At 38.6% G+C, this 19,768-nt stretch overlaps 1 protein-coding gene across 19 annotated transcripts in view; it reads left to right on the top strand.

Annotated features, from left to right (window-relative positions):
• CNOT6L (CCR4-NOT transcription complex subunit 6 like) overlaps nucleotides 1-19,768 on the top strand; it is a 106,883-nt gene that overhangs the window by 23,344 nt on the left and 63,771 nt on the right. The window lies entirely within an intron of this gene.

Below are 19,768 nucleotides of genomic sequence, written 5' to 3'. Positions count from 1 at the left end.
TTTCTCTGTTAGACATGGGGTTTTGCCATGTTGTCCAGGCTGGTCTCGAACTCCTGAGGTCAGGCAGTCTGCCTTCCTTGCCCTCCCAAAGTGGTGGGATTACAGGCATGAGCCACCACACCTGGCGTCCTTGGCAGTTTTGTTGAAAATTAATTGACCATGTATGTTTGTGTTTGTTTCTAGACTCTGTTCTCTTGATGTTAATCTTTGTCAGTACCTTATTGCCATGATTACTGAAGCTTTGTAATAACTCTTGAAATTACGTAGTTCTGTTAGTCTGTTCTCACACTGCTGTAAAAAATACCTGAGACTGGGTAATTTATGAAGAAAAGAAGTTTAATTGACTCCTGGTTCGCAGGCAAGAAGCATGACTGGGAGGCCTCAGGAAACGTAGAATCATGGCAGAAGGTGAAGGGGAAGCAAGCATGTCTTAGCATGGCAGAGCAGGAGAGAGAGTGTAGGGGGAAGTGCCACACATCCCCTTCAAGCAACAATCTCTAATGAGAACTCACTATCACAAGAAAAAGCAAGGGAGAAGTCCTCCCCCATGATTCAATCACTTCCCACCAAGCACCTCCCCCAACACATAGGGATTGCAATTTGAGATGATATTTGAGTGGGGACCCAGAGCCAGACCATATCAATAGTGTAAATCCTCCAATTTTATTTTTCTTTTTCAAAGTTGTTTCAGCGTTAGCTTTTCTAGGCCCTTGGAATTTCCATATATATTTTAGAATAAGCATGTTAATTTCTATAAAAAAAAAATGTCATGAGGGGAACAGGGCTGAACAACTACCTATTAGATATTATGCTTACTACCTGGGTGATGCCATCATTCATACCCTAAACCCCAGCATCATGCAATATACCCATGTAACAAGCCTGCATGTGTACTCCCTGAATCTAAAATAAAAGCTGAAATTATTAAAGATAAAAGGAAAGAAAAAAGATCACTTTCAATGAATAAAAAAAAACCACCTTAGGTATTTCACTGGGATTGTGTTAAATTTGTAGATCATTTGGGGAAGAATAACATCTTAATATTGATTCTTCTGACCCATGAATATAAGGTATGTCTTCATTTATTTAGTTCTTTAATTTTTCTCAGTAATGTGTTATAGTTTCCAGTGTACTGGTGTATTAGTCCAGTCTCACACTGCTGTAAAAACATACCTGAGACTGGGTAATTTATAAAGAGAAGAGGCTTAATCAGCTCATGGTTCTGTGGGCCCCGTACAGACTTCTGCTTCTGGGGAGGCCTCAGAAGACTTAACAATCATGGTGGAAGGTGAAGGGGAAGCAGGCACATCCTCACAAGGCCAGCAGGAGAGAGACAGAAAGAACAGGAGTGAAGGGGGAAGTGCCACACACTTTTCAAATAACCAGCTGTCTTAAGAACTCTGTCATGAGAACAGCAAGGGAGAAGTCTGTCCCCATGATTCAGTCACCTCCCACCAGGCCCCTCCTCCAACACTAGGAACCACAACTGGACATGAGACTTGGGTGTGGACACAGAGCTAAACCATGTCAACTGGTTTGCACATCTGTTTTCATATTAATCTCTATTTTTTTATGTCATTGTAAATGATACTTTAAAAAATTTTACTGGCCGGGTGCAGTGGCTCACACCTGTAATCTCAGCACTTTGGGAGGCCGAGGTGGGTGGATCACCTGAGGTCAGGAGCTCGAGACCAGCCTGACCACCATGGAGAAACCCCGTCTCTACTAAAAATACAAAATTAGCCAGCCGTGGTGGCGCATGTCTGTAATCTCAGCTACTCAGGAGGCTGAGGCAGAAGAATCACTTGAACCTGGGAGGCAGAGGTTGCAGTGAGCCGAGATGGTGCCATTGCACTCCAGCCTAGGCAACAAGAGGGAAAGTGTCTCAAAAAAAAAAAAAAAAAGAAAAATTTCTTTTTTACTTTTGCTTGTTACCTGTATGTAGAAATAAATACACTTGATTTTTTTGCAGGGGACATATTAATCTTGTATTCTGTTACCTGTTAAATCTATTCATTAATTCTGTTAGATTTTTTGTAGATTCTATAGGATTTTTTACATATATATAATTTATTGTTTGTGAATAAACATGAGTTTAATTCTTCCTTCCAGTCTCCATGACTTTTATATCTTCTCTCTTGCTTGATTGCATGGGCTAGAACTTCTGGTGTCTGGTGTAAACTTCAATAGAAGTGAGAGCTAACATCCTTGCCCTGTTTCTGATCTTAGGAGAAAAGCATTCAGAATTTCACCATTAATGTTAGCTATAGATTTTTCATTGATGCCATTTATCAGGCTAAGTAAATTCACTTTTATTTTTTAAATGAAGGTTTTCTTTTTAAATAGGAATGGCCATTGGATTTTTCAGATGCTTTTTATGTATCTATTGAGATGATCATGTGTATTCTTTTAAGTTTCTTAATAGGTGGTTTTTATTATTTTGAACGTTAAATCAACCTTGCTTGCATTACTGGGGTAGTCACCACTTGGTATAATGATGGATCACTCTTTTTTTTATATTGCTGGATTTAATTTGCTAAACTTCAAAAAAGACTTTATTTGCATTTATGTTCATGAAGTCCATAGTTTTCTTGCACTCTTGTTTCATTTGATATTAGGGTAATGTTTGCCTCAACTTTATGGAAGAGTTTATGTGGAATTGGTATTGTTTCTTCCATAAAGGCCAACCAAGGTTGAGAACTACCAGACTATAAGACTATAATCTCTCTTTCCTTCTATTTCTAAAATCTTTTTTTTTTTTTTTTTTTTTTTTTTGAGACAGAGTCTTACTCTGTTGCCAGGCTTGAGTGCAGTGGTGCGATCTGGGCTCACTGCAACCTCCGCCTTCTGGGTTCAAGCAATTCTCCTGCCTCACCCTCCCAAGTAACTGGGATTACAGGTGCCCACTACCATGCCCGGCTAATTTTTTGTATTTTTAGTAGAGGTGGGGTTTTACTATGTTGGCCAGGCTGGTCTCGAACCCCTGACCTCAGTTGATCTACCCGCCGCAGCTTCCCATAGTGCTGGGATTACAGGTGTTAGCCACTGCGCCCAGCTGGCTATATAAAATTAACAAAAATTGTTTTACAATTTTTAAGTTTCATGGGAGACATTTTAGTAAAATTTATAACGCATATACCTGTACACTCTTACTGCATAGAAAGCTTATCTGTCTTCTAATCTTGAGCAGTTTCTGTAGTAATCATGTTGGCCATGTCTTTCTCAGCTCCCCTACCCAACACTCAGAAATCAGTGGCTGCTGCTTAGTACTCAGGGAAATGCCCAGAATTCCTGTCAAGTTTTTCTCTGTTCTCCTGCTCTGTCCTCAGAGTTTTCCAAGTCCATCATAAGAGACGGGGGCAGCATGATGTAGTCTCTGCTGCTGGGACTGTAGAGCCAGACTGCTTGGGTTAAATCCCACTGTGCCACCCACTAACCATGTGACCAGAGGCAAATTTCAGAATGCGCTTATGCCACTCTAAAATAAAGATAATTAAAGCACCTCCAACTTAAAAGTTGTGATTACTGACGCGTAAAACACTATGGATAATGTTTGTCACATGGTTGGTGCTCATTGAATGATAGTTATATCCTATTATTTGTCTCCAGTTGGAAATTGCTGGGATGCTCAGCCTTTGGTGGAATAGCTGTCTGCTTCTCAGCATCCAGAGATACTTTTGATGGCTAGAATATCATCATCTCTTACGAAGAATTTGGAAATAAATACAATTCATAACCTCTGGCTTTTTCATTTCTCTCTGACAATGATTTCTTTGCATGGTACTTGATTTTCTAAATGCTTTTTTCAATGGATACTATACTCTGGACTCATGCTTAGGTCATATTTGTGCAGGGATTTTTAACCTTAGCACCATTGGCATTTGGGACAAGATATTTCTTGTTGTGGGGGCTGTCCTGAGTTCTGTAGGTGTTTAACAGCATCTGTGACCTCTGCCTACTAGATTCCAGTAGCACCCCTGCCAAGCCACCCAAGTTGTGTTAACCAAAACCATCTCTAAACATTGCCAAATGTCTCCTGAGGGGCAGAATCACATCTGGTCGAGAGTCACTTTTTTAGAGGGGACTTCAGTATGTGCTGCCATAGAAAACTGTGATTTGTTATGTTAGTATTTCTTGGAGAGAGCCATGACAGTTACTAATCAATACTTTCTAGACTTGTCTTTTTTTTTTTTTTTTTTTAAGGCAGAGTCTTACTCTGTCACCCAGGCTGGAGTGCAATGGCACGATCTTGGCTTACTGCAACCTCTGCCTCCTGGGTTCAAGCGATTCTCCTGTCTCAGCCCCTCAGTTAGCTGGAATTACAGGAGCATGCCGCCATGCCCAGCTAATTTTTGTATTTTTAGTAGAGACGGGGTTTCACCATGTTGGCCAGGCTGGTCTTGAACTCCTGACCTCAGGTCATCTGCCCACCTCAGCCTCCCAAAGTACTGGGATTACAGGTGTGAACCACTGCCTGGCCTATTAATTTTACTTAATATATTTTTCTCATATTTTCAGTTTAGCATAGCTACTTGATTTAGTTGCTGCCACTGGGATTGGTCAATAAGGGCGTCTGTATTTTTTTTAATTTGCTGATTGTTCAAACTGATGGCTTAAAGTATAGAATTTTTGCCTCTATAGTTGCCATGGATGTAGGCACCTAGGGAGGTTATCGGTGGTTAACAGCACCCAAATCTATACTTTTTTATATGTCATTGCACTTTGGTTTCAAAAAGAAGAGACATAGCTTACTTACTAATGATTCTATTTATCTTATGCCTAGAGGTTGTTGGGAAAACAAGTATTTTGTATCTCAAGACAGGATGTTACTGCTTGGGGATAATCTGTTATCCATGGGCATTTATAAATGACCTTTAGGCACTTCTAAACAAAGTAAAGTAACTCTGGGTAATTTTATTTGAATTTAAAATTATTGAACAGCTGATGAGTAAATACAGTGTAAAGTATCCTTGTTTTTAAACATGCTTTTGAATATATTTATGCTTCAAGTATATATATATGTACATATATATTCTCTGGGAGGAATATGGTCTTGAATCTATAAATTAAGAACATGCAGTGTTTCCTTTAGATGCAAGGTTTTCCTTATCGGAATATTTTTCACAATACCAAATGATTTTTAAAATATTATGGGTATGTGAGTGATTTACAGTCAAAAATACCTACCATTTGTTGTTTAAATAATACCCAAGCAAAATCAGATTAATTTTTCTCAATCAGAATATGAAAAAAAACTTAGAAAAATATCATGAGTACAACAGAAGAATGAGCCTTAGAGAAATTATATGCATTAGTATTAGGCTTATAATAACAAAACATTTTACAAAAAACCATAAATGTTCTGCTTTTGATCAAAGAAAATATGGATGTTTAAATGGACACTGAACTTTTTACATACCCATTTATTTTGTGAATCTGTAAGTATTCTTAAACTACTTCCTCTACTTGGCAGTATTTTCTCATTTTATTAATCTTTGCTTTTTTTTTTAACCGTACACATTTGTTACTTATCTTGATAGTTTGCAGATATCTTTAGGTAATATATAGCTTTCTCAATGTTGATAACATGCTAGGCTATCAGAAATATGACAAAGATGATGCTGAAGATGATGATGATGATGATTATTTGGAGACGGAGCCTGGCTTTGTTGCTCAGGCTGGAGTGCAGTGGCGCGATCTTGGCGCACTGCAGCTCCCACTTCCCGGGTTTGTGATTTTCCTGCCTCAGCTTCCCGAGTAGCTGGGATTACAAGTGTGCACCATCATGCCTGGCTAATTTTTTTATTTTCAGTATAGACGGTGTTTCATGATGTTGGTCAGTCTGGTCTGGAACTCCTGACCTCAAGTGATCTGCCCGCCTCAGCCTCCCGAAGTGCTGGGATTACAGGTATGAGCCACCGCACCTGGCTAACAAAGATTGTTTTTAAAAATGTGAAAGTTTTGGCTGGGCACAGTGGCTCATCATGCCTGTAATCCCAGCACTTTGGAAAGCCGAGGCGGGTGGATCACGAGGTCAGGAGTGTTCGAGACCAGCCTGGCCAAGATGGTGAAACCTCATCTTTACTAAAAATGAAAAAAAAAAAAAAAAATCAGCCAGGCGCAGTGGTGGGCACCTGTAATTCTGGCTACTTGGGAAGCTGAGGCAGGAGAACTCTAGCCTGGGCGACAGAGCAAGAATCCGTCTCAAAATTAAAAAAAAAGTGGGGAAAGTTTTTTGCATATCTTCAAATATAGTCAAATGCCTTTTTATTTTTTAATTAAAAAATCCTTTGTAAACAACAATGAGATACCAGTGTACCTTTTAGAATGGCCAGATCCAAAACACTGACAACACCAAATGCCAAGGAGGATGCGGAGCAATGGGAATTCATTGCTGGTGAGAATGCAAAATAATATAGCTAATCTGGAAGACAGTTTGGCAGTTTCTTACAAAACTAATAAGCATACTCTTACCATATGATCCAGCCATCATGCTTTTTGGTATTTACCCAAATGAATAAAAAACTTATGTCTACACAAAAACCTGCACATGAATGTTTATAGCAGCTTTATTCATAATTGTCCAAACTTGGAAGCAACCCAGATGTCCTTCAGTAGGTGAGTGGATAAATAAACTGTGGTACATCCAGACAGTGATGTGTTATTCAGTGCTAAAAAGAAATGAGCTATCAAGCTATGAAAAGACATGGAGGAAACTTAAAATGCATAATACTAAATGAAAGAACCCAATCTGAAAAGACTACACACCGTATGAGTCCAACTAAATGACACTCGGGAAAAGGCAAAACTATGGAGGCAGCAAAAAGATGAGTGATTGCCAGGGGGAGGGGGAGAGGGAATGATAAATAGGCAGAGCACAGAGGATTTTTAGGGCATGCTTTATATTTAAAAATTTGTATGTTGTATTAAGCAGATGGGAATGAATTTTTTTTTTTTTTTTTTTTTTTTTTTTTTTTTTTGAGACAGTGTCTTGCTTTGTCGCTTAGGCTGCAGTGGCACAATCACCGGTCACTGCAGCATCCACTTCTTGGGCTCAAGCAATCCCCTCACCTCAGCTTCCCAAGTAGCTGAGAACATAGGCACATGTCACAATGCCCAGCTAATTTTTGTATTTTTTGTAGAGACAGGGTTTTGCCATGTTGCCCAGGCTGGTCTCAAACTCCTGAGCTCATGCCATCTGCCCACCTCTGCCTCCCAAAGTTCTGGGATTACAGGCATAATCCATCATGCTTGGCTTTTTTTTTTGAGGCGGGGTTTCCCTCTGTCGCCCAGGCTGGAGTGCAGTGGCATGATCATGGCTCACTGCAGCCTTAACCTCCTGGGCTCAAGGAATCTTCCTGAGTAGCCGGGACTACAGGCATGCACCACCACCCCAGCTAATTTTATTTTTTGTAGAGACAGGGTCTTGCCATGTTGCCCAGGGTGGTCTTGAACTACTGGCCTCAAACAGCCCTCCCACCTCAGCCTCCCAATGTGCTAAACAAAAAAAGACTGACTTTTTTTTCCCCTTTGGCTAAAAGGTCCTTGCATTGTATTTGAACATTTTGTTAATGAGAAAATTGAGTTGACTAAATGATTGCATTGGGGCGGGGTTGGGGGGAGCGTGGGGGGAGCTGTGTACTCAGCATAGTCAGTTTGTAGGATATCTTAAGTTTTTCCTTGAAAACAAGCAGTTAGAGGGTTTACTATCACTTTGGGTTTGACTAAGAGCTGTATGATTAGCTAAATAATTTAACAGTTTGGGAGACAGCTCTGCATTGAATCATTCTGTGTTTACCTTATTCTGTTTTGGCCTAAAGTCCATCCCATTCAAGCATACCAGTTTTAGCTGCTTAAAATTAAAAAATTGAAAACATTATCTTCATTGTAGTGAAATACTAGTGATGTGTGGAAGGGGAGTTGGTGGAAAATTTAAATCAATTTATTTACTTATGAAAAGAGAGAAAGGAGACTTGTACTGCCATATAGATATGGCTGTATTTTATTTAACTACCTTATTGTTGAGAATAAACTCTTGTCTTTAGGCTTAGGTTAAATTCCTGAAAGTGGCATTATATTTTATTGCCTTGTGTTTTTTTTTTCCGTTTAGAATGAGGTTAATTTTTTATATATGTATTACACATTTGCACTTCTTTCATCAATTGCATATTATTATTATTATTTATTATTACTTTTTTGAGACAGAGTCTTGCTCTGTCGCCCATGCTGGAGTGCAGTGGCATAATCTTGGCTCACTGCAGCGTCTGCCTCCCAGGTTCAAGCAATTCTTTTGCCTCAGCCTCCTGAGTAGCTGGGACTACAGGCACATGCCACCACGTCCGGCTAATTTTTTGTATTTTAGTGGAGATGGGGTTTCGCCGTATTGCCCAGGCTGGTCTTGAACTCCTGAGCTCAGGCAATCTGCCTGCCTTGGCTTCCCAAAGTGCTGGGATTACAGGCGTGAGCCATGGTGCCTGGCCGAATTGCCTATTATTATAATATGTTCTTTCTCATTTAAAAAGGTATTATGTAATCTCTTAGCATGTTTAAAACTGTTAACCTTATCATGCATGTCATACATATCTTCCGTATTTTACTTGCTTTTCATTTTGTCTTGTATAATGTACAGGAGGTTTGAATTTTTAGATAATCATATAAATATGTCTTTTTATGTTTCTATTTTTGGATTCCTGCCTGAAGAGATCTTTTCCCATCCAAGTTTTTAAAAAACTGTTCGCTTACATTTTACCTTAGTATGCAAAAAAATTAAATCTTGAATATATTCATTAAATCTTGGAATGTGATCGAGCTATTTTAACTTACTTTTTGCCAAATTGTGGAATGTAGATTTCCCACTAATATTGGAACAAAAAAGAAGTTTGGTCAAAGAAAGTAGATTTTCAGATTTATGATACTAGTATTGGAGATCATTTTGAGGGTTTTCAAACTTTAAAGACAAAGGATTTATTGAAGGCATATATCTGAGGCAGATCAATGTAGTGGAATTGGATTAGAATTCCAGTTCTGCTGCTTGCCAGCAAGCTTCTAAACCTCTTTATATTACAGTTTTCTGAATGCTAGAATTGGAATAGTAATACCTGCTTACAAGATTGTTGGGAGAAATTAATTAAGTGAAATAAAGTTAGGTAAATAACTTATATGTAGTAGCTAGTAGTTGGTAGTTGCAGTGATGGTGATCATTGTCATCATCATTTGCTGCACCTAAAGAATCCCAAATTTAGAAATAGATAGTGTAGTCTCCTTTAAGTGGATTCTCTGAGTTTCAAGGAAGAGTTTGAGTACACATTTTAGATTTGAGTCTTGTGCTAACTGAATGAATCTCTTCACTACACTAGTGATTATAATTGTGTATGCTGAGAAACTGGGGGTAAGTGTAATGACATTGAAACGCCATGCTATAGTTTGCTTTTATGATGGCAAGTGACAAGAGTATTTTATATTTAATATAAGTACAGGGATTTTAAGGCATTTGTAATGTCTTTAATAATGTGATAGCTAAATCATTAGAGGATATAGGCCCACTCAGATGTGTAACTAGAAGCAATGTTGTTGAGTAGAGGAAAATAAAAGCGAATGAAGGAAGGAGGCAACTAGGATTAGTAGTGTCATCTATTATTATTATTATTGTTATTATTTTTTGAGACAGAGTCTCACTTTGTTGCCCAGGCTGGAGTGCAGTGGCACTTTCTTGGCTCACTGCAGTCTCCACCTCCCAGGTTCAAGCGATTCTCCTGCCTCAGCCTCCCGAGTAGCTGGATTATAGGTGCCCGCCACCACACCCGGCTGTTTTTTTGTATTTTTAATAGAGACGGGGTTTCGCCATGTTGGCCAGGCCGGTCTTGAACTCCTGACCTCAGGTGATCCGCCCACCTTGGCCTCCCAAAGTGCTGGGATTACAGGCGTGAGCCACTGCGCCCGGCCTCATTTATTATTAGACTCTTATGGATGGCAAATTCTTTACATGAGGAAAATGATTTATAGGAAAGACTCAGTAAAATAGAAGCAGATTTTTGAAGCTTTCTATCTTTACATATAGAACATCATCTCTCCATGACTCTGGTGATATTTTTCAGCAACCCCTGTGAACAGCCTCTCTCCTCATATTGTTTCCTTTTTTAAAAATATTTTTAGGCCAGGCCTTGGCTCACACCTGTAATCACAGCACTTTGGGAGGCCAAGGTGGGCAGATCACTTGAGCTCAGGAGTTCAAGACCAGCCTGGGGAATGTGGTGAAATCCTGCTTCTACAAAAAATACAAAAATTAGCCAGGCGTGGGGTGGTATGCACATATAGTCCCAGCTACTTGGGAGGCTAAAGTGGGAGAATCACTTAACACCCAGGAGGTCAAGACTCCATTGAACCATGACAATCCCACTGTACTCCAGCCTGAGTGACAGAGTAAGACCCTGTCTCAAAAAAAATTTTTTTTTAATTTACTTTTATTTTCTTTAGCAATACAGACAGGGTCTCACTGTGCCACCAGGCTGGTCTTGAACTCTTGGACTTAAGCACGATCCTTCCACCTCAGCCTCCCAAAGTGCTGGGATTACAGGTGTGAGCCACTATGCTCAGCATCCTCATGTTATTTCCTCTCTCTCTCTGTCTCTCTTTCTTTCTTTTTTTTTAGAGGGAGTCTCACTCTGTTGCCCCAGCTGGAGTGCAGTGGTGCAATACTGGCTCACTGAAACCTCTGCCTCCCGGGTTTAAGTGATTCCCCTGCGTTAGCTTCCCCAGTAGCTGGAATTACAGGTGTCCGCCACCATGCCCAGCTAATTTTTGCATTTTTAGTAGAGACGGGGTTTCACCATGTTGGGCAGGCTGGTCTTGAACGCCTGACCTCAGGTGATCCACTCTCCTTGGCCTCCCTAAGTGCTGGGATTACAGGCATGAGCCACCGCACCCGGCCATGTTATTTCTTATTTATGTGTCTTTGCTTATGCTTTTATTTTCGCTTTGTCTGTCCCTACCACACCTACAACCCCCTTCCTTGAGGGAAATACTGATTCCTGTTCATTCTTTAAGATTCAGCTTAGTGTCACCTCTTCATGGAAGTCTTGCATCATCTCTTCTACTTCAGCACTGTGGCACTTTGAGACAAGTTTTCTTTTAATCCCCCTTGTTTTGTGCGTGTGCATGCAGACCAAATCTTCGTCAGCACTAGATATTGTCATTTATTAAATTTAATCCTTCTAATGTGTAGCGATATCTCATTGTGGTTTTTAGTATTTCACTGATGCCTAATGTTGTGCATCTTTTCATGTGCTTATTTGCTATCCGTGTATCTTCTTTGAAGTATCTGTTCAAATATTTTGGTAATTTAAAAAATAAGATTGCTTTATTATTTTGTTTTGAGAGTTCTTTATATATTCTGGAGTGTTTTTTTTTCAGATACGTGTTTTGCAAATATTTATTCTTAAACCCTGACATGTCTTTTCCTTCAAATTTCAAAGAGCAGAAGTCTTAACTTTTCTTGAAATTTAGTTTATTAGTGTTTTTTCTTTTATGGATCATGCTTTTTATGTTATATCTAAGTAATCTTTGCCTAATTCAAGGCCACAAAACTTTTCTCTGATGTTTTCTTCTGATGTTTTATAGTTATTGGTTTTATATTTAAGCTCATGGTCCTTGTAAGTTTACTTTGTGATGCAAGGTATGGATTGATGTTTGTTTATTTATTTTTCCATATGGATATACCATTGTTCTAGCACCATTTGTTGAAAAATCTGTGCTTTCTCTATGGTTACCTTTTTGTTGTAAATCTATTGACCATGTATGTGGGTCTATTTCCAGCTTCTCAGTTCTGTTCCATTGAACTATGTGTGTCTTCTTTCATTAATACCAAACTCTCTGGATTACTGTAGTTTTAGTAAGTCTTGAAATCAGATAGCGTGCACATCTATGTTTATACCTTTTTCAGAAGTGTACTGGCTATTTTAGATTGTCTTTCCGTATAAATTTTAGAATTAACTTGATTTCTGCATGGGGAAATATACAGAAGAAGAGGTAAAAGATGACTTAAGCCAAGAATGATGAAAAGGAAGTTGATACCCATTAAAAAAGATGAAAATGTACGTATCAGAGGAGAAAGAAAACAGAAACTAAATCAAAAAAGTGGAAAGAAGGCTGGGTGCAGTGGCTCATACCTGTAATTCCAGCACTTTGGGAGGCTGAGGTGGGCAGATCACTTGGGCCAGGAGTTCAAGACCAGCCTGGGCAACATGGTGAAACCCATCTCTACAAAAAAATACAAAGATTAGCTGGATGGTGGTGGCGTGCACCTGTAGTCCTCGGTACTCAGACGACTGAGGTGAGAGGATCACTTGAACCCAGGAGGTTGAGGCTGCACCACACTGCACTCCAGCCTGGGTGATAAAGTGAGACCTAGTCTCAAAAAAAAAAAAAAATAGATTATATTCAGTATCTTTAGATGAGTAGGAGGCATTAAATGCAAGGCATTAAAGCATTGTAATTGTTAGGTGGAGACTAAGACTTAATTTGGAATTCTGGGAGGAAAATCATAAGCTTAAGTTGTCCATATTGATAATGAAATAAAATGAAACATGTCTATAGTAGCATTATTTTTGAAATTTTGAAGTGATTGATTTATAACCCCAGGTCTGGTCTCTGTTTTTTATTTTAGTATTTATGTATGTTTCATGTTGTTGCTGCTGCTGTTGTCTTGTATCTCAGATATGGGAAAAAGTTTTAAATATGCAGAAAAGGAATTGTATTCGATTTCTTTCTCCTTTATTTCCTCCTGGTAGTACTGTAACTGACGATTAGACTATGCCCTCATCGCTTTCCAGAGCCAGAAGCTTCCTGTAAGTTATCTCTGGATTGCCGTAAAGTTATCTTCGGATTACCTTTGGAAAGATGTATAACAACCAATAACGTTTTCTCATATTCATCTAGGGACTTTATTGCCACATATGCCTATGCATTTTATTTGCACAGATAACTAGTGTTTGACTTGAGATATATTTAATATATTAAATATTAATATATTTAATAAATTTAATATATTTAATAAATAGAGCCCCAAGAATAAACTGACTAGAAATAAAACATATTGAATCCAAGTATTTCCTTGTTCCTTGGGTTATCTAATTATTTGGTTTGCTAGCAAGGATTGTAGAAAAGAATATTATCACTGATTTAGGAAACCAGTTGCTATCATCTTAAGTTAAATGTACTAGTATGTGTTTAACTTATTATCTTCAGTCCCATTCCCCAATATTAGGCCATTTAAAACTTCTCATTCTTGTCCTGGGAACTCTGTTCTCTCCACCTATTCTTGACCATGCCAGAGGTTATCGGTTATTCATCACCCTCATCCTTTGTGATAAGGATGTTTTATTTTCCCTTTAGTTGTTCTACTTATTTTAGAGTAGTGACAGTAGAGAACAATGCAACTACCTGATGAGGGAGAAAAAGGAAGTAGTAACAAGAAATGCCAAATTCCTTGCAGAATTATTGAAAAGCAAAATACTGTATAGCTTTTCTTTTTCAAGTAGTGCTGTGAAAACAGTATATGCTCCATGCGGGTAAGGACAATGTCCAACTTGTTCACTATTGAAGCACCCTAGTGCTTGGTACAGTAAATGTCGTAAGGAATAGGCATGCAATAAATATTTCTTGAATAAATGTTAAACTGGTCAGAAACATTAGACTTCAAAAGTCTGAAGGTTATTTTTTTCAATAATGATGAGTGACTTTGCCATTATAAAACATGTGTTTTTTTTTTTTTTTTTTTTGAGTGGTCACAGAGCTGGAGATGTCATGAACACTTGGAATTAAGTCTTTTTTAAAAAAATGTTTGCATTATTTTATAATCTATGGACTTTAGTTGAATGTATAATTAAAGAAAGACAAATGCCATCCACAGGCCTTTGGTATGGAAATGGAATGGGGTTGCTAATGAAATTGTTCTTTATCCCAGGGCATCATTTAAGCTCTTGTGATTGCCATCAATCTTTAATTTTGTCAATATGATCTTACTATATGCAGTATAGTTTGCTAGGGGCAGTTTTTGTAGTATCAGCTGCTTATCCCATTCAGGTGAAGTACAAATTTAGTATGACAGTTGTAATGATTAATAGTTGTGTATAGTTAAAAATAAATACTATAGTTGGTTGTAGTGGTGACACCTGTAGTCCTAGCTACTTGGGAGGCTGAGGCAGGAGGATTGCTTGAGCCCAGGAGTTTGAGGCCAGGCTGGGCAACATAGGTAGACACTGTCTCTTTAAAAAAAAAAAAAAAAAAAGGCTAGGCACTGTGGCTCATGCCTGTAATCCTAGTAGCACTGGGAGGCCAAGGCAGGAGGATGTCTTGAGGGCAGGAGTTCAAGACCAGCTTGGGCAACATAGTGAAACCTTGTCTCTACTAAAAAAAAAAATAAAATAAAATTAGCTGGGTGTGATAACATGTGCCTGTAGTCCCAGCTACTGGGGAGTCTGAGGAGGGAGGACCACTTCATCCTAGGATTTCAAGCTTGCAATGAGCTATGATTGTACCACTGTCCTCCAGCCTAGGTGACAGAGTGAGACCTTGTCTAAAAACAACAACAACAAAAAAGATATTGATAAGGAAATAGAAACTTCAAAAATGGCACAGTGCAAGAGTTATTTGCTTTGTTAAGCAAGATAAACACAGACACATTTTCTCAGGAAGGGAGCTCATAATGGTTAAGACCAGATGGGAAGGATAGTTATTTATTAAGATGAGTATGTAGTAAGACACAAAAAAACATGTTTTCCCTTCCGTAACTTTTGGGAATAAATGCCAATATAAGACAGATTTATATGAGAATGTGTAAAATGGAATAAGTTATTGATATTTACTCTGAACTCTAAATTAAGCCTCATATAGGCTTAATTTTGTGTTTTTTCAATTTTAGGAACTCTGCCAGCATCTGTGTCTCTGCCTGTGATTGATTTTGCAAACTATTGTTGAGATGATTAGTGATTTGTATTTTGGGTGAGATTTCATTGAGTTAGCAGTCTGATTCATTATGAAGCACTCTGGTGCTTGTAGGATTTTTAGTCTGAATCCTAAATGAAATAACATTAATTGTGCCAAACTACAGACTGAGATAAAATGACCTTACACTTAGGGTGATAAGAGAGAAACTGTAATTTAACACTATAGGACTTACATCTTTACATACGCTATAGAGGCATCGTTTTTTGTAAGCTACTTTAGATGACCAGTATTTACAGAAGCTTAGTTCTAGCTTTTACCAGTTTGCCCTGATTTGGCCAGCTTGTTTTTTCAGGGGGAGTTATGCTACTTTATTTTCCTAGTGCTACATATAAAACTTGAGATTTGGGGTTAACAATAGTATATTTGTATGTATTTCATATGTAGTTTTAAAATATACCTTTCATTGAAATAGCATGTTACGTAGATTTATTTGCAGTTTTGGAAACTCTAAATTTAAATTTTTCTGTGCAAAGCAGACCTAGCGTTACATATAATATTGCTTATAAATTAAAAAACTAAAATACAAAAACCCCCTAAAATACATTAAATATTTTTTATTTTTAATGTTTTTTAAAATTTTACTTTAAGTTCTGGGATACATGTACAGAACATGCAGGTTTGTTACATAGGTATGTATGTCCCATAGTGGTTTGTTGCACCTATCAACCCGTCATCTAGGTTTTAACCCCTGCATCCATTAGGTGTGTGTCCTAATGCTCTCCCTCCCCTTGCCCCCTACCCCCTGACAGGCCCTGGTGTGTGATATTCCCCTCCCTGTGTCCATGTGTTCTCATTGTTCATCTCCCACTTAGGAGTGAGAACATGCAGTGTTTGGTTTTCTGTTCCTGTGTTAGTTTGCTGGGAATGATGGCTTCCAGCTTCATCCATGTCCCTGCAAAGAACATGAACTCACTCTTTTTTATGGCTGCATGTTTTTTTATGTTTTTTAGAGGCAGGGTCTTGCTGTGTTGCCCAGGCTAGAGTGCAGTGGCTATTCAGAGGTGTGATTATAGTGCACAATGGCCTTGAACTCCTAGCTGCAAGCGATCCCTCCACCTCAGCCACCCAACTAGGTGGGACCACAGGAGTATACTGCTGTGCCCAGCTTTGAAATACGTTTCCTATGAAGTCAGTATTTTACAGATTTATCTGAAGCTTTTGTTTAATAGAACCAAAGACAAATTTATTAAAGTCTTCACCCTGTGGTAGTGTTTAATCAGCCTTTGGTGATGGAGATTAAAACTTTTTAATGTAAGGAGTATATAAGAAGTAGGAGAAAATCGGGTTCCTTATCTAGGACTGATGGTTACTCTCAGAAATTTTACTCAGAGTCTCTGAGGCCTTTGTAGGAGACACGCTAAGAAATAAAGAGTGAATGGATGGCAGACTCAAAGCAGCTTGTGTAGTATTTGGGAAACTAAGTGGAGTGTTTTTCGTACTGTTGAAATGGAGTTAGATGGCAAAGTTGGAAAGGTGTTGCTAACAGGCTTTGTTATGTAATCAGGATTCCCAGTATAAATTTGGTTGATGTAATGGGAGGATCTTTTGAGAATCTATGTAAGTTGTTGTAGAAATTAGAAACTCTTGGAAAAACTAATTCAAAAACCTGCCTCTTCATTAGTTTGAAATTAAAGATAAGAAATTAACTGTGCTGTGTTTTCCCAAATAAAACATTTCTCTTTCTTGGATGAAAAATGTTAATCACTCAGTATTTAAGTCTTGAACTGAGCTGTATATGAGACTGTTTGAAGCCACATGAGCAGTGTCACATTTAGAGATTTAAATTACATTTGAATAATTTATTTCATAATTTTAAGTTATTTTGAAATAGATTTTTGTGGTATGCCTACAAGGTGGAAAGTTGATGCCGAGACCTGAGAGGGGAAAATAAAGCTGAATGGAAAGGTTTAATAATGTTAATTTCCTGAAATTGAGTTCTCTGTTATTGATTGATTGATTGAGACAGGGTCTCACTCTGTTGCCCAGGCTGGAGTGCAGTGGGGTAGTCTCGTCTCACTGCAAGCTCCGCCTCCCGGGTTCATGCCATTCTCCTGCCTCAGCCTCTCAAGTAGCTGGGACTACAGGCGCCCGCGACCACACCCGGCTAATTTTTTGTATTTTTTTTGGTAGAGACGGGGTTTCACCATGTTAGCCAGGATGGTCTCGATCTCCTGACCTCGTGATCTGCCCGCCTCGGCCTCCCAAAGTGCTGGGATTACAAGGCGTGAGCCACTGCGCCCAGCCTTTGGTCATTTTTATTGGCATCCTAATCAAATCCAAAAGAGACCTCTGACCCCTAATATGGCAGTATTGATCTTACTTTGGTTTTTACATATTATAGATATTGGTAAACATTTTATGGAGCTTTTTTTTTTAAGGAAGAGATTTCATAATTTTAATGGACTTACAAAGATTGAAACATGAAGAATTAAAAAATAGAAATCTAGTTCTATATAATATCTGTTTTAGAGATTAGAATTGGAGCACCAGAAAAGATGGTAATTATTAATTTTCTATTTAGATTTTAAAAATATCTGGGAAAATTGAACATGTGGATAAATTACCATTTCTTTGTATCAATTTTTAGAAAAGCATTGGGTGTTAATTGGCTGTGAGATGAGTAGGAAGGGAGGAAGGTGGCAGATTTTAGGATTATAAAGCATATGATCATTGATCATTCCACAAATACATGTTATGTGCTTCCTATGTGGCGGGAACTGTATGGAGATATAAAAAGAATATGCCTCCACACAGAAACATAGTCCCCTTAAGGAACATACCATCTAGTGGGAGCCGTGATTAAAACAGATTAAATTGCCTTCTAATCCTATGCCTGTGTGTTTTTTGTGTTTTTTTTTTGTTTTTTTTTTTTTTTTGAGACAGAGTCTCGCTCTGTCACCTAGGCTGGAGTGTAGTGGCGCGATCTCGGCCCACTGCAGGCTCCGCCTTCCGGGTTCACGCCATTCTCCTACCTCAGCCTCCCGAGTAGCTGGGACTACAGGCGCCCGCCACCACGCCCCGCTAATTTTTTGTATTTTTTTTAGTAGAGACGGGGTTTCACCGTGTTAGCCAGGATGGTCTCGATCTCCTGACCTTGTAATCAGCCCGCCTCGGCCTCCCAAAGTGCTAGGATTACATGCGTGAGCCACCGTGCCCGGCCTGCCCTGTGTTTTATAAAAATGATCTAAAATTGGGCTGGGTGCCGTGGCTCACGCCTGTAATCCCAGCACTTTGGGATGCCTGTAATCCCAGCACTTTGGGAGGCCAAGGCGGGCGGATCACAAGGTCAGGAGTTCGAGACCAGCTTGACCAACGTGGTGAAACCCCCATCTCTACTAAAAATACAAACATTAGCCAGGCGTGGTGACACGCGCCCGTAACCTCAGCTACTCAGGAGGCTGAGGCAGGAGAATCACTTGAACCTGGGAGGCAGAGGTTGCAGTGAGTCGAGATCTCGAGATCACGCCACTGCCCTCCAGCCTGGGCGACAGAGCAAAACTCCGTCTCAAAAAAAAAAAGATCTAAAATTAGTGAAACCTATGTTTTTGAAAATTTAGGGTGTTTTACCCATTCTCATTGTAGGTAATGAATTATGTAGTGTGTCTTTGGATCTAGATCTATTTGATTTGGCTTTGCTTAATCTTGTATTTTTTTGTAGACTCTTTTATTATTACCCAAAAGTACCCAAAGAGACATGTGTGCCTTATGGTGTCCAGCAGAAATTCTGAAAACCTTGTTACCTAAAAACTTTATTTTCAGAAGTATTATATATAGGCTGAATATGGTAGAAATCAAATTTTTCTCCTGCGGAAAATGATCATATTCTTTGTGCTATATGAAGTTCTAAGACATTTATGGAAAATAAAATACGGTTTAGCATCGCCCAAATTGTGTAAGATTAGAGTTGAAGAGCTTAACCTGGAAAGTTGGAAACTAATTACTGTTAACATATGAACAGATATGGAAAACTTTCTCTTTGCTCCTTTAAGTAAGTGGAAAGGAATGACTATTTTCCCTTTAGAAATGTGAGAGAAAGTGATAGTATGGGAAACTTTGATTGCATTCTTATAAACTAGCTTTTTGATTTCTTATTACATGATAGAATATCTCTTTTTTCTTTAATCTCTATATGTTACAAATTTCAGATGACCTGAAAGCAACTCTTCAATTTGGGATATAAGTTCTAAACTTTACTTGGAAACAGTTCCAGATTCAGACACTTGGTTTTGGGGTGTGTGTATATATGTTAATATATGAGCAAAGAACCCAATATAAATACTATGTGGCAATTTATTGAAAGCATGCAGGAGTTTAATTTAGGCTCAGGACATTGTGTCATTTGCTATTCTTGTTAGATATGAACTGGATTTTATTTTTTGTCTAGTACCAAGCAGTACTTCTTATATTGGACCCCTTGAATAAGGTTACCTTTAGAGCCATTTGTCACCTACTTCATACATAGCACATTTGATGAGTTTTATGTCTAGCTGGTCATCATTGATGATTGTTCAGTGATTATTTTGGCAGTTATAGCAGGAAGATGGCACAGTATAGTTATGTGCTGCATAACAACGTTTGGATTGCCTAACAATGCATTTCTCAGAACATGTCTTTGTTAAACCACACATGACTGTGCTAGTTTTGATTAGGGTGGCCATGTAACTCATCCAAATTGGACTCTTTTGAGCATGAAAAGGGATGATAATAATAATTGCTTCAGAACAACAGATATAAACCAAGACTGACCCAGGCAAACTAAGATATG

Source organism: Homo sapiens, chromosome 4 (genome assembly GCF_000001405.40).
Source record: "Homo sapiens chromosome 4, GRCh38.p14 Primary Assembly".
Lineage (NCBI taxonomy): Eukaryota > Metazoa > Chordata > Mammalia > Primates > Hominidae > Homo > Homo sapiens.
The sequence above is the reverse complement of the archived record's forward strand: the minus strand, read 5'-3'. Positions and strand labels throughout refer to the sequence as shown.